The 15,775-nt window shown below is 44.0% G+C and overlaps 2 annotated features.

Annotated features, from left to right (window-relative positions):
- Positions 7,525-8,270: an enhancer, noted in NCBI's record as "H3K4me1 hESC enhancer chr13:30753674-30754419 (GRCh37/hg19 assembly coordinates)". NCBI's record gives its function as "activates a minimal SCP1, AML or CMV promoter by ChIP-STARR-seq in primed H9 embryonic stem cells {active_cell/tissue: H9 hESC(primed)}" and the evidence as "EXISTENCE:reporter gene assay evidence [ECO:0000049][PMID:30033119]".
- Positions 8,271-9,017: an enhancer, noted in NCBI's record as "H3K4me1 hESC enhancer chr13:30752927-30753673 (GRCh37/hg19 assembly coordinates)". NCBI's record gives its function as "activates a minimal SCP1, AML or CMV promoter by ChIP-STARR-seq in primed H9 embryonic stem cells {active_cell/tissue: H9 hESC(primed)}" and the evidence as "EXISTENCE:reporter gene assay evidence [ECO:0000049][PMID:30033119]".

The following is a 15,775-nucleotide window of genomic DNA, read 5'->3' as shown; positions in this document are numbered from 1 at the left end:
CTATTATTCTAAAGGCTTCAGGAACTTCACATCCTATTTTTTTCTTATGCTTCTCAGTTCTTAGTCTGTTCCCATCTCTGATTTTAGTGTGAATGTAGTTATAAAAGCCGAAATAGGACAAAGCTGGGTGATCCTTTGTAAAGACATACTCCCAATGTAATGACCATCATCACACATTAGCAGGAAGTTGGTGCACAGGCTGAAGCAAGATGGGTCTGGGTTCAGGTTTTGACTGGGACAGAGATTTACGGCTTTGGAGAAATCTCATTTTTTTGAAGTGCTGATTTTCTCATAAATGTGGATAAAACACTGACTCCAGAGGGTAGATATGGTATGTATAACACAAAGTATCATCTTAATAAATGTCACTATTATCATTTCAACAAGGCATTGGTTCACATAAGAGCTATGAGTACAGGGGAAAAACTCTAGGGTGGATCAGGGAAAAACAAATTGGAAATTGCTGAAGGCTTGCCTTCAAGGCTTAATTATTCTGTATGTTAAAGCACCTTTTCCTGTTAGACAAGCAGGCTCCTCAGGGGCGGGAAAACAGAGGCCCTGCAGCGCTGAGGGAGCTCTGGTCTCCATGGTAACTGCACATTAGATCCTGATGCGGGCACACCTGGCATTCTAAGGTTGCTCCCGCATATGGTACCTCATATATTTCATTTCTTAAAAAACTTGCCTTGACCTCCCTGCTACTGCACACAAACTCCTTCACACACACACACACACACAACACCCTTTGTCTAATCCACAGCCACTGAAGCGATATAAGCCTGTCACAGAGATCGGAAACACAGTTCCCAAAGCCATTTAATCAAACAAAGGGCCAGAACGGTTATTCTTGCTTCAAAGTCATGCCCAGAAGAGAAGTACCTGAAAGATGCCTTTTCTATGAGACTGACGTAGACTCTGGTGCCCCCGCTCTGGCTTGTTAATAAAGCAGCCCCATTCATAACCTGCTAAAGCAGAATCACATCATTGACCATGACTCATGACACCATTTGAAAAAGTGGCCTCTCAAAATTCTCCCTACAGATAAACGGCCATTAAATCCTCTGCTTTGAACTAGTTTAAAAGAAAAAAGATTTCCTGGTAGGATTAAACAAAAAAGTGCAGACAGCCTGTAGTTACCATGTGACACAACCAAAGAACTGTGGCTGCTTAGAGATTTCCAGCTCTGCTTCAGAAACCGATGTTTAAAAACTTCTTGTTAAAAAAATGTCAGAAACTGGGGACAAAAGTCACTGTTCCTTGAAACATATCAAAGTCTTCCTTTCAATGGTCATCTTACTGATTTGGTTCCTTCACACTATATTTCCCAAAAATCCCATTTAAATTAACCACGCATGCTGCTCCAGCATGCTTGGCTGCAACCACAGCACCTTGTGTGTGTTACGCTTCATAAGGGCCTTCAAAGACAGTGTCTTAAAAAGCCACCGTTGAGAAATGTTAGAACTTAGAATCTAGAAATGTTGGCTTACTTATGGTCCTTATGGTGTTTTTCTTGTAAGCACCTTGGAAAGCCTAGTGAGTAAGAAATAATAACCAAATGTATTCACCCAACATGGGAAAGTGAGCTGTGCTCTATAAAGTTTGTAGTTTATGTTTTGAAAACTGGCTTAATGTACAAGGTTCCTGGATCATTACTTAATTTTAATTTGTGGGAAAGGCATTATGTTTAAAGCAATAAAAACTTTTTCTTCCATGTCACAGCAACCTTTTGGCAAACTCACCGGCTCTTTCTCTCAGCTACTTTTCCACCCCATTTGGTTATGAGGAAACATTGTGATTGCCTTGTAACCCCAAAGGAAACTGCAGGTCTGATGGCGCATTTGTTAGTCTCATTTGCAGGTCTGATGGCACATATATGACCTCTCCTAAACATGCCAACTATAATCAGACTTTTGATTCCAACCAAGGTGAAGTAGCCCTATTCCTCCCAGCTCCTTCCTCTTGCAACTAAAGACCCTGGACATGACACAACAAGAAAGCATAAAAAGATCCTAAAGGGCAGAAAAAACATGGCAGACTTCTCAGTGTCCTCAGAACTGGAGGAGAAACACAGTGGTGGGTCCCCCAGGTTTTTTTTATTGCTTCCTGTATATTCCAGACAGGGATCCAACATAAGGCTTCAACCCAGAGCTGCCAACAAAAATCTCCAAGAAAAGCCTGTGCCCCATACCCCAAACACTGAGAAATGGGTGACCTAACAGCAGAACACATTTCCGGCAATATCTGTCCCCCTTAAGCTAAACACCAATGGAAAAACTACATCCCCCCGATATGGTTTGGCTCTGTGTCCCCACCCAAATCTCATCTTGAATTGTATTCCCATAATTCCCATGAGTTGTGGGAGAGACCTGGTGGGAGATAATTGAATCATAGGGGCACTTTCTCCCATACTGTTCTCATGATAGTGAATAAGTCTCATGAGATCTGATGGTTTTAAAAATGGGAGTTTCCCTGCACAAGCTCTCTCTCTTTGCCTGCTGCCATCCATGTAAGATGTGACTTGTTCCTCCTTGCCTTCCACCATGATTGTGAGGCCTCCCCAGCCACGTGGAACTGTAAGTCTGTTAAACCTTTTACTTTTGTAAATTGCCCAGTCTTGGGTATGTCTTTATCAGCAGCATGAAAAATGGACTAATATATGCCTTAGCCTGGAATTTCAGCAGGGCTGAGCTGGGAGATGATGTACCACAGCCTTCCTGCCCTGCCAGAGTAGGTAATAGCACTTGAATTAACCTACTCAATAGGGCTAAGCAGATCCCTCATCTCTTGTCTCTGACATGGTGCTGGGAGCACCTGCTGGGTGCTTTCTGTGGGCTGAATGGGTAGTTAGACTTCCATCCTCTGCTCTGTGGAAGCAGATGGTGCTCTTATTTCCCCATTAGGATCATGTAGAATGAAGTCCAGTGGCTAGCAGAGCCTCACACCTGGTATTAAAGAGGCAGAATGAAGTAGGAGGTGGCACTAGCTGATTCTGATTTCCCTTCCCCTTCCTAGGTGTCAGTGGGGCCCAGGGGGGAAACAGCCCACACCCTTGGAGGTAAGGGGGCAAGGTGAGTTTATGCCCTGCCCTATTTTTGCTGGGAAGGTATCTGTGGGGTTGAGCCATAAATTTACAGATTTAAGAGACTGAGTGAAACCCAAAAGGGTTAAACCAAAATGCTGTGAAACTCATACTAAGATACATCATAATTAAACTTCAAAAGTTAAAGACAAAAAAAAATTCTTGAAGGTGCCCAGAAAGAAACAGTCATTACTTGTAGTGGAACACCAGTTCAAATGACAGTGGATTTCTCATCTGGCCAGAAGGAACTGGGCAACATTTTTTAAGTATTAAAAGAGCTGCCAACTGCAAATTCTCTATCAAGGGAAAACATCTTTCAAGAATGAAGGGGAAATAAAGAACATTATCAGACAAAAACTAAGAGAATTTGTTGTTAGCAGACCTATTTTTTAAGAATGACTAAAGGAAGTTTTATACATAAGGGAAATAATAACAGAAGAAGGCCTGGAACTTCAAAAAGGAAGAAAGGATATCAGAGTGGGTAAAAATAGGAGAAAATAGGCTATCCTACTTCTCGTGAGTTCCTTAAATCATATTTGATGGTTGAAGCAGAAATTTTAGCACCATCTAATGTGGTGTTCAGTATAGGTATAGAAAATACTTGAGACAATTATATCTAAAAAGCAGGGAAAGTAAAGGGACAAGAATGGAAGTAAGGTTTCTATTCTTCAGTCAAGTGGTAAACTTCAATACCAGTAGACTGTGATAAGCTATGTGTGTATCTTGTAATATCTATAGCAACCACTAAGAAAATGGTGCAAAACAAGATACTTGAAAACACTGTAAATACAAGTCATGTGCCACATAATGATGTTTCAGTCAGTGATGGATCACATCTACAATGGTGGCCCATAACATTATAATGGAGCTGAAAATCTTCTATTTCCTAGTAATGATGTAGCCACTGTAACTTCATAGCGTGGCGCATTGGTCATATATTTGTGGTGATGCTGGTGTGAACAAACCTATTGTGCTGTCAGTCATTTAAAAAGTAAAAAGAATATATATATATAAATGTAAAAATAGAAAAATCTGATAGAATTTAAGATTTACATCTTATTCTATATATCTTCTAGAAAGAAAATATTTTATACTGTTATACAATGGGTGTGTGTTTTAAGCTGTTACTATAAAAGTCAAAAAGTTAAAAACATTGAAGGATAAAGTTGAAAACTTTATATCAAGCTAAGGTTAATTTATTGTTGAAGAAAATTTTTTTAAGTAAATTTAGTGCAGTCTGTGTCTAGTGTTTATAAAAATTGTACCATACTACAACAAAAAGTGGACAGTAATGTCCTAGGCCTTCACATTCACTCACCACTCACTCACATCCACAGCAACTTTCAGTCCTACAGACCCCATTCACGGTAAGTGCCTGATACAGGTGTACCATTTTTTAATCTTATATACTATATTTTTACTGTACCTTTTTAATATTTGATATGTTTAGATCCACAAATGCTTACCATTATGTTACGGTTGCCTGCAATATTCAGTACAGCACCATGCTGTACAAGTTTGTAGCCTAGGAGCAATAGGCTATATCATACAGCCTAGGTGTGTAGTAGGCTATGCCACCTAGGTTTATGTGAGGACACTTTTGATGTTCACAAAATGACAAAATTACCTAATGTCACATTTATCAGAATGTATTCCCAATGTTAAGTGACACATGACTGTACATCAGATGAAATCCTAAAAAATACTCAAGTAACCCATTGGAAGATAAGAGAAATGGAGGAATTAGAAACAAAAGAAACAATAGAAAACAATAAAATGGCAGATTTAAACCCTAAGACATCAACAATTACCTTAGATATAAATGGTCTAAATATACCAATTAAAAGACAGAAATTGACTGAGTGGATTAAAAAAGCATGATTCAACCTATGCAGTCTACTTCAAATACAACAACATAGGTAAAGGGATAGAAAAAGATATACCATGCAAACATTAATTTTAAAAAATGCAGGAGTGTCTATATTCTTATCTGATAAAGCAGACTTCAGAGCAAGTTACTAGAGACAAAGGAGGGACATTTCCTAATGCTGGAAGGCTTAAGCCACGGGGAAGATACCGGGAAGATACCAAACAGTAACATAAAGACCCAGATACCAAACAGTAACATAAAGACCCAATCGCAGCCCTGGTTGGTGTCTTTCATTATTCACAGGACTGAAGAGCTTTTGAGAGTAAAGATCACAGTGGCTGGTCTCGGCTCACACCTCCTGCCCCAGGATGTGCTTTAGGAATGTTGTTAACTAACTGTAGTGGAAGACAATTGCTCTTGCAGTCTGGCTCACAAGTCTACACTCCTCTTCAGGAAAGGCCTCCAGGGAGTGAGGAGTCTGTAGCAACTGAGTGGCCCCAGGAAGCAGGGCTAGTGTGGACTGGCTCCCTCTTGAGTTGTGGTGGGGGCTTGCTTTCCCAGCATGCTCTCTTGGCTGTTTTGCTAGAGTCTCCCTTTGGGCACCTGCGCCCTAAATGTAGAGAAAATGCCCATAAGCTACTCTGCATCCCTTTTATAGGTCCTCCCAAGAAACCTTGGAGTTCTTAATGCAAATAACTTCCCAGCTCTTGAGAGACATATGTAGATTAGGCCCCACAGTGACCCCATGCAAGAAACCATATCCATAAATAATCCCAACTTGAAGACCCGCCGGGGTCAACCAGCGAACCATTTGATTAAGTAATGCATTGAAATGCAGCGAGGTCCCATGTCACGACGGGAATGTAAATCTGAGGGGGAATGGCCGGAAGTAAGTGGAAACTTCTTGTGTTTGTATGATGATGATACTTGGTGGTCGGAAAGGAAATTATTTATTTGGGAAATCTCCGCAGTGGCATTATGAGATCACCAGTATATTGTTAATGGTTTCTGTGCTCGTGCTTTTTAGTTTAGCATTTGCTCTGTACCTAAAATTTATAGGACATGCTGTGGTGGCAGGTTTGCCTGGTGAGCCTAGTGAGGTGGGCCAGCAGGTGAGGCCAGAGTGAATGAAGCTGTGGCCTCAGAGGGGAGGTTTGCCCCTGGGCCTTTTAGGGAGAAGGGCTGCATCCTGGGCTGCGGGACCAGACAACTCAGAGATCCAGCCCAAACATTCCTGACCACATCCTCCTCCTGAGTCCGTCCTTGTTCAGGTTTCTATGGTGGCACCTGTTTTGTTTCGTTTTTTTCGAGACAGAGTCTTGCTCTGTCGCCCAGGCTGTAGTGCAGTGGTGAGATATCGGCTCACTGCAACCTCTGCTTCCCGGGTTCAAGCAATTCTCCTGCCTCAGCCTCCCGAGTAGCTGGGACTACAGGCACCGCCACCATGCCCAGATATTTTTTTGAATTTTTAGTAGAGACAGGGTTTCCTCATGTTAGCCAGGATGGTCTCGATCTCCTGACCTCGTGATCTGCCTGCCTCGGCCTCCCAAAGTGCTGGGATTACAGGCATGAGCCACCACTCCTGGCCACTATGGTGGCATCTTTACTGTGGGGCCCAGACTTCAAACTTCTGCTGTCCGTGACCCTCCTAACCCAGGCCTTCTCCTCACAGTAGCCTGAACCCATGGGCTCAGGCAGCAGTATTAACCCCACACCATGCCTCTCTGCATAGGGGCTTGCCTCTCCTTCCTCATCCATGTCGCTGGCTTCTGCATTTGTCCAGCACCTCACCTTTGGGATTCATCTAGTGGGCCTCTCTAGTGTTGAGCCTTGACATTCGCCTGGGCCCATCTGTACCAGCCCTTGGCTGCTCCTGGTCATCGCCCACCCTGGTAATAGCCTCTTTGACCTGAGCCCCCACTGGATGCTCCAGCACCTCCTCCCTTCTTTTCTTCCCCTCATCCATCCTCACCCATGAATAGTCACTGCAAGAATCCGCTTAGCATTTCCATGACCCCACCTTGGCAGAGGCCACCATCCTTTGCATCCTGCACACCTCACTATATGCATGGCCTTCGTGCTAAAGGACAGGATGGCACGTTGATTAACAGGAGGCTCTGCAGCCCAGCTGCTGCCCAGTTCGAATCCTGGCTTCACCGGTATCTAGCTGTGTGACCCTGGGCAAGTTAGTGAGCCTTTCTCTGCCTCTGAGGTCCTTATCTATAAAATCTAGATCATAATTGTAGCTCCCCTACAAGGCTACTGGGAAGAGTAATGAATTAATCTATATAAAGTATTTAGAACAGGGCCTTACACACAATAAGTGGTAGGTGTTTACTGTTTTGCTAAGTTAATCTTTAAGAGGTAAGCCAGCTTGTAAAAGCTCACCTCTGTCCCCTGTAGGAATACGCTATTGCACCATGCTTAGCATGCTATGGCCACCCAGCCTGAACGCGAAGGCTAACATCAAAACCAGGTTGAATAGAGGTGATGGGAATTCTGGATGCTTTTCTGTCTAATTTTTGAAGAGTGATGTCTTCCCTGAAAGAGTTAAAGTTAATATTAGCTCCTGAAGCAGATGGCTCTTGAAGAACAACCAATGGAAGAAATGCCTTCAAAGACTGGGTGGCATTTTCTCAAATTCTCAATCTCCTGTCAACCAACTGGGGAATCTTCACTCCAGAGCTCTTCTGAGTGGGTCTTTCTGCAGCTGGCTTGTCACCACAGCACAGGGCTCCTTGTCTCTCAGGGTTGAGCTGTTGCCTCTCATTCTTAGCCACAGGTGGCCTCTCCACCCTGCTAAGGATGTTTGTGTTCCTTGCAGGAAAGACCTTAATTTATTTTGCAATATTATTGTGCTTCTATTTAGTTTCTTTTCTCCAGCAGAAGAGGGAAGAAAGAAGTGCTTCAAAGCTGCATGTCACCACTGAGAACAGACAAATTCCTGAGACAGGCCCAAAAGTCACAGCCGGTGGCCTCATCACCTGGAGAGCCTGGCCTCTCTGGCTGCCAGCCCACCTGTGCCCCCACCCTTGCCCATACACTGGCCTTTGATCATCCACACTCAGCAGGATCACACAGCCCACCTTCCTAACACTGCTGTGCCAGGTGCTGCCTGCTGCATCTGGGGCTAGTGGCTCAGGCTTCAGCCCAGGACTGTTTCTTGTGATGATGGAAACACCTGGCTCTTTGTCCCTAATTGTCCTGGCCTCACGGCAGGAATCTCAGCAGACCATGTCCTACAGCTAGGATCATTATGGAGTGATGGGGACTAGGACAGAAAGGCTTGGAAGAGGGAGGGGTCAGTGCTTGCTGGGGGGTAGGAGCGGCGGGGGATGGAAGTAGGGGGAGGATCCGAAGAGGCTTCCCCGGAAAGATGATGCTGGGCTGAGTTTTCAAAGATGAGTGGGTGTTCACCAGCGGACTGCAGGGGAAGGGCGTGGAGAATTGCAGGTAGAGGAAGCACTTGGAGCAAAGATGCGGCAGCACAGGGCTATGCACAGGGTGAAGGGTGCAGTGAGGGGTGAGAGGGCAAGGGGTATCCCACACTCCGGGGGTGACTCTGGATGGCACCCCAACCCTAAAGTGCAGAGCTGCACTAAAAATCATTCACTCTGGCTGGTCCAACAGGCCAGGTTTTGGTCCAACAGGCCAGGTTTTGCCTGCAAAATAACCAGAAGCCTCCCGTGACAGACCCAGGGGTGTGCTGGAACAAGGCCATCTTTCAGGTCCAGGAGGAGATAGGCCAGCATTGCTAGGCAGGCAAGCTCTGCACAGAGAAGGCAGCTGGAGGACGCTCAGAGGAAAGCCTCGGCCTGAAGAACAGGCAGGCCTTCTGGAGGGAGGTGTGCCATCGAGTCAGGCCCACCCACCTGTAGGATGAGCCAGGCCAAGTGAAGCTAAGTTTACCCTCCCTCAAGGCAGGAATTTCAAAGAACCATCCTGGACAGGTCCTCTGTAGTGTTTAATTACCCATTATAATCCATTAGCTAGTTAGACATTGATATTTAATTAATTAAGCATTTATCAAATGGCATCTATATGCCAGGCATTGCACATCCCATAGGGGATTAAAGAAGTTGTAAAACATGGTCCCTGTTCCCCAGGAGCTCAAGGCTGGGGAGATGGATCCATACACAAGTGCTACCAGTACCATGTGATCTGTGCTGGAGCCACAGCTGTGGCCACAGAGAAAGGCAGACACTCTCTTTGCTGGCAAGAAGCTAGGGGTGGGAAGGGCATAAGAGATGCTTCTGAGAAAGAGTATCATGGAGCCGAGTCTTGGAGTGTTAGTAGAAATTTAATCAGTGGAAGGGTGTGAAACAACCTTCAAGTCAGCTACAACAGCTTTTTCAAAGGCATGAAGTTATGCAAACCGTAGTGTGTGGGGGGAGCATCTAGTAAAGGCTTGTTAATTCACAGCATGTCCCATCACTCCCCACCTCCCAAACCCATGGCCGATGAGCCAACCAACCACAGCAATCTCTCCTCTTCCTCCTCTGCAAAGGGTTCCAGGCAGGTATAACAAATCTACAGAATCAGTGCTCTTGGCCATCCTGGGATTCACATTTTTGTGTTGCTACATTAGAAGGCAGGAGATGATGTTGGGAGAGTCGTCTGGGGCCAGTACATACTGAGCCTGTGTCATTCTGAACTCCATCCTTCTGCTGATGACAGCCCCACCCACCTGCCCCTCACCTGCCGGTTAGCACAAACTTCAGTCTCCCCAGGATTGTCTCACCGTTCCTTGTCTCTCTTCAGATCCATGCCTGCTTCTCTTGCACATCTGAAGTTTCTCCAGCATTGATTTTTTGGGGAAACATTCAGGCTCTTGTCAATAGACACCAGCTCTCTTCTTTAGAAACCACAGGCCTGAGCCTCTTGGTATTATATATGACATGCAAAGCAAGTACTCTAAGGTAGAATTATTCTATGGTGAACTATTGCCACACTCAGCTTCATTTAAGAAAACGTTTGCAATATTGAAACTCTGGAAACTTATTAATCAACCACTGGTCTTTGATTCTCTACATAAAAGCTTGCCCCAGAATGGCCTATATAAGGGTGTGTCGCCCACCTCTGAAGAATGTGTAAAAGAACCACCTCAAGGCACAAAAAGGTAAAAACTGGCTCCTGAGAGGGCAAATCTCAACTCCAAGTGGTACGACACTAGATGATGTTATAATCCTATCCTTCGAAACTTCTGGTTTGATAACATTAAAAAAATGGATGTTCTCTTCAGGTGAGCATATGTTCTGCAGTGCCGAGTGACTTGTGATGACATGGTCTTCCTCTCATGTGCCAGTAACCTTTCTCAGGAGGAAGCAAAACCTGCTGTCCAGTTATAATCAGAAAGTACAGCTCAATATTCATACCCAGTATACATTTTGCTAAATGTTACTGGTTTTGGCAACTCTCTTCAGCATCCAGGAGGACTGTTTAAATCCCCCTAAGCAGGTTAACTTTTCTGAAGGTGTATTTGATGACCAGCCCATTTTAGCAGGTCACATAATGTGGCCATTCAAAACCACACATTTTAGAAACCATGTTAAAGCTCTCCTAGGCCTTGTCTTGTCTCTACAGGGGAAGGCCTGGGGTTTTAACTGGGCACTTCAGCACTTGGACATATTCAGGAAATCGTTTCCTGAGAAAAGTCTTGGCCCTGCGTCCAGGTTCTCCTCTAATCCACCCTGGGTGGAGATGAGATGATCTTTCATCCAGGCTGGATGATCTTTCATCCAGTAATTGACTGAATTATATCAAAATGTAATTGGCTCTTCAGTTTTCACAAGAAATTTGTAATTTTGCTTCCTACAATCATTGCCAGCAAAGCTTTGGGCCTTCTTTTCAGTCAATCACCCAGAATACCTGCCTGTCAAGCAAGTCACCTGTTGTTATCAGACTTTTTCTAACTCCTGTGTTGCATGAATAAACACAGCAATAAGGAAGATGAGTTTCAATAAAGAGCCAAAGGGCCTGATAACCTTTCTTTCCTCTAAGTGGCTCTTGGAGATGAGGGGACATACCCTTTCCCAACAATGGAGTCTGGGGGAGGTGGGCTTGGAAAAGGAATATTTAAATTTATATAATTTCATTTTTGCAAAGTGAAAAATGACCTATCATTTTTAAAAATAAAAACTGCAGAACGTGAAGCTCTGTGGATTCTTCTGGCAGATAGAACTAATGGAATTGCAAAGCTCATCCTTTGTGCATCCCCCATGAGTGGGCTGAGCTTCTTATGTTTATCAAGAAATAGGGCACAAGTTTAAAGGATGGTGCGAGATGGCTCTAGACTCCCTAATTAAACTCTACTCCGGAATGGGGAGACCAGACAACATGCAAATAACAGTGGAAACTTCCTTCTAGTTGAGCCGCATTGGTACCAAATAGTAAAGGAATAAAGCTTGGTGTGACTCACCATTCAGAAAGCTGTATTGGAGAGCATCAAGGAAGATGGTAGCAGAAGTTCAGAGAGAGGTGCAGCAAGGAAATTGCCAAAGCCAGACACCAGGGAGGGAGATGTGGCTGGAAACCCAGTGAGAACAGCTGGGCTTTCCTTGGCATGCAATAGACACCACCAAGGCATTAGTGCTCAGCTCACATTCTCCTCATTCATTGGGTCACCCTTATGTGTAGTGTGTGAACATCTAACATCATGCCAACTTGATCACCAGAAAGCTACCTACCCAGGCTATGCTGTACTGGTTCCCCAGGGAAATCCCATCAAAGACCTACAAATCCTTGGCACCCTTGACTTTGAAAGAGGATCCATGTAAGGAACAATCATATAAAATCACTATTATATAAAGACCTATATATGACTGGTTCCTTTCAAAATGGAGGCCTTATAAATTGATGAACTTCCTTCTATTACATATTGAAAGCTGTACAACTTGTGTGTTTCTTGTTTTGCCTTAGCTCTTAGCTAGATTTTTTGTGCTCAGTCATAAAAGGTATATTGGCTTAGGTTTTTAGATACAACTCTCTCCCAATTTTTATTGCTTTGTAGTTGGTCTTAAAAAAACCTTTAAAAATCGATTTTTATTTTTTATAACTTTTCATTTTCTTTGCCTGTGTCCTTTTTTGGATATAGATGGCGTACCATATAAACAGTTCTCTAGAAATAATTTCACACAGTGGTTTCTATTACAAACTGTCTTACCTAAAGATATCCTTTTCTTTAAACGTGACACTTCCACACATTTAAGATTTAAAAATAGCTCTATACGCAGGTTTTATTACACACACACACACACACACACACACACGTAGCCACAGTCTTAAAAATCCACAAAGATAGGATACTCTAAGCAATATTTTAAAGAAAAGCTACCTTAGCACTTGGATATTCCTTTGAAAAAGACCATTGAAATTCATTTTGTTCAATTCCTTATCTTCGTACCTTAATTATAAATAAGAAAAAAGTCACAGCAATCTGCACTGTGTAGTGGGCGTCTGCTCTGCCCCAGGTACTGTGCCGATGCTCACCCACCTTATTGTTAATCCCCACCCACAACCCTGTGTAAAAGGAATTACTTAACTTATTTCATAGATTAATAAACTGAGGCTCACACAGGCTGGGCGCCTTGACTAAGCTCACAGTTAGTCATTTAATAACCTAATAATAATGTTTTAAATAACTATTATCAGACCTAATCTATCAGAGTCCTTTGAGGCCGTGGTTGTAACCACCTAGTACCCTAATTTTTCTTCTTCTTCTTCTTCTTCTTCTTTTTTTTTTTTTTGAAATGGAGTTTCACTCTTGTTGCCCAGGCTGGAGTGGAGTGCAATGGCACGATCTCAGCTCACCACAACCTCCTCCTCCCAGATTCAAGTGATTCTCCTGCCTCAGCCTCCTGAGTAGTGGGGATCAGAGGCATGTGCCACCATGCCCAGCTAATTTTATATTTTTTAGTAGAGACGGGGTTTCTTCATGTTGGTCAGGCTGGTCTTGAACTCCCGACCTTAGGTGATCCGCCCACATTGGCCTCCCAAAGTGCTGGGATTACAGGCGTGAGCCACCATGCCCGGCTAGTACCCCCATTTTTCTAAGAGATACTTTATTTTTTTTCCTCTCTCTTTTTTCTCTTTCCTACTTTTCCACACTTCCTACTTAGCCCTTTAGAAATGTAATCATAGCCTTTTACCTCCTCTTCACCAGACGCTCCCTACAGGGCAAGTTCATCTAACTATGTGCTTAGAAGCTCCAGAGCAGAACTCTCACCCACCAGGAGGCTGCCTGAAGAGATAACAGCCCATTTACAACCAAAGTATGCACACTAGAGTTTTTGACCACCTTTACAACCTATTTTTTCCCAGGAAGACACCAACTCAACTGGCCAGTAGATAAGGCACTGAAGGGAGTACACAGACCCCCGCCACATCCCACTCACCGGCTCACTTCCACCACTGTGTAGTCCCCACACTTTAAAATTGCCCACTTCCTTTTTTTTCACTCTGTCACCCAGGCTGGAGTGCAACAGCACGATCTCGGCTCACTGCAACCTCTGCCTTCTGGGTTCAAGTGATTCTCATGCCTCAGCCTCCCTAGTAGCTGGGATTACAGGTGCCCGCCACCACGCTTGGCTCTTTTTTGTATTTGTAGAAGAGGCGGGGTTTTCCCATGTTGGCCAGGCTGGTCTCGAACTCCTGACCTCAGGTGATCCACCTGCCTCAGCCTCCCAGAGTGCTGGGATTACAGGTGTGAGCCACTGCGCCCAGCCAAAATTGCCCACTTTCTGCTCCAAAAGTGAAGTGGTACCCATAAAGCAGGAAGCCTGTGTACTTCTTCCCCTAAAGTAGCTTTGGAATAAAAAGTCACTTTCTTTCTACCAGACCTTGCTCTTCTTAATTGGATTCGGAAGAACCTGCAATTCAGTGACATGGTGATTAGCGGAATGCCTGTTGGCCTAGTAAGCAAGTAACCTTTGCAAACATTTATAGGTTTGTGGGGTGTGTGTGCACATGTGTGTGGGGGGATAACTTTGGACCCTCTTGTTATTGCCCCATGATTGGTAGTTCTATTTCAAACTCTGTTTTTCTGCCTGCTTTCTTGGAGCTCCTAATAAGGCGATTGGAGTACAGACTCTTCTGCTTGGCAGATTCTCGTTTCCTCTCACCCCACCCATTTTGTACTTCAATATTGCAGTTTCCAACAGTAGGATGCCTGGTTTTTGGATGACATTAATGAGTTAAGAGCAGCAGATTTATAAACGTGTGAGTTTCTTATTAGGCTAAAAGTCATTTGGTTTTCATTTTTTGTTAACTCTATGTTTAATCATCCTAAAACCAAATTGTCTTTTTCAACCCAAATAAATGATTTCCTTCTTAGATCCAAGAGCTTTCAGGCTTTGAAGATAAAAGGACAGGCTGTTTCACAGCTCAAAACTTTCCATGACATGTTGCAGAGACAGGAAGCGAATTTGCAATCCTGGGCGCATTCTAAGAGGTTCATTCCAGAGAGAGGTATCTGATTCAAAAGCAGCGACCCTTGCTTCCTAAACTGTGAAGGACACCCAACTGCTCCGTAGTCCTCCTCAGAGTCAGAAGTGAGCGTGCAATGGCGCCGCACTGACACCAACACCCCCACTCGGCAGAGCCTGTGGAGGATGCACTGAGGAGCTAGACTACGGCCAACCACGATGACGTCATAAAGGGAAGGGTAGCATCCGCTTGGAAAATGGGACACAGATATTTGTCAGCAACACTAAAAATTAAAGGCCTCACACGGAAAAACTGGGTTAAAATACAAACTTCAATGTATTATTGTTTTATCTTCTCAAGGAGAACTGGGAAGTAATGATCCACACATTTGTCATGCTCAACAGAGCCTTAAGGGAAGTTAACACAGAGCGTTAAACACCATCTATTAAAGAATCGCATTTCACAATAGTGAGTAAAAGGAAAAAACCTTAGCAAACGAAGGAGGCCATTCTTCCCCCCAGTTTATTTTCATGCTCAAACTAATCTATTAGTTACAAGAGGGGAAGAAAGACAAAAGTTTTTAAAATTTAGGTATAATAGAATTGTTTTTCTCTTGCGACATACTGTTTTAAGTCCCTTTATTCAGAATGCCACCTTACAGTGATGCAATACAGAGGACGCTAACACTACACGCCTTCTTAGTTGTCAGGCAGGGACCCTGCGAGTCTTTTAGCCCTGCAAGACTACAGGGCCAGGTTTAGACAATATATTCAACTTTTAAAAAGTTACTGGACACAAGCAAAAAGGTGCCAATTCCCAGTTGAACCATTTTTTTTAATGGTCACTTGGGCCCCACCTATGGACGTCCTTCAGGAAACAGGCCTGTGAAGAAACCACCTGTGCAGCGTGTCGGTGAAAGAGGACAGAGGGCATCGTGGATGTCATTCAGCCTCCAAATGGAAACCTATAGATATGACACATGAAAGTGTCTGGACTCACACAGCCTCACTCTAGTGACTTCCGCTGGCCACTGGACTTTTCCACTCAATGGACATTTACGAAGTACCTAGTGTGGCGGAAGACTGTCTTAAGCAACTGTCGGGTATGTGGAAAGGGAAGAAGACCAATTCCACTCCTTTAGTGTTTGTAAGAGACTAGCGTTGCACTTAAATGCATAATGACCCTTACATTAGCATAATTAATAGCACTCTTGTCACTTGCTAGAAATGCATCTATGTAGCTATTGAAGCCTTAAGCTGCTCACAGCTATTTGAAAGGTACAGCTAGGAGGCTGCCATGCAGGTGTGCCTAGCAGCAAAGGGTGAGGTTGCTGGAGTCAGACCCCTGGGTTCATGTCCCAGCTTCACTGCCACCTTGCCGCTGCAGGACCAGGGCAAGTTACT

Source organism: Homo sapiens, chromosome 13 (genome assembly GCF_000001405.40).
Source record: "Homo sapiens chromosome 13, GRCh38.p14 Primary Assembly".
Classification (NCBI taxonomy): domain Eukaryota; kingdom Metazoa; phylum Chordata; class Mammalia; order Primates; family Hominidae; genus Homo; species Homo sapiens.
The sequence above is the reverse complement of the archived record's forward strand: the minus strand, read 5'-3'. Positions and strand labels throughout refer to the sequence as shown.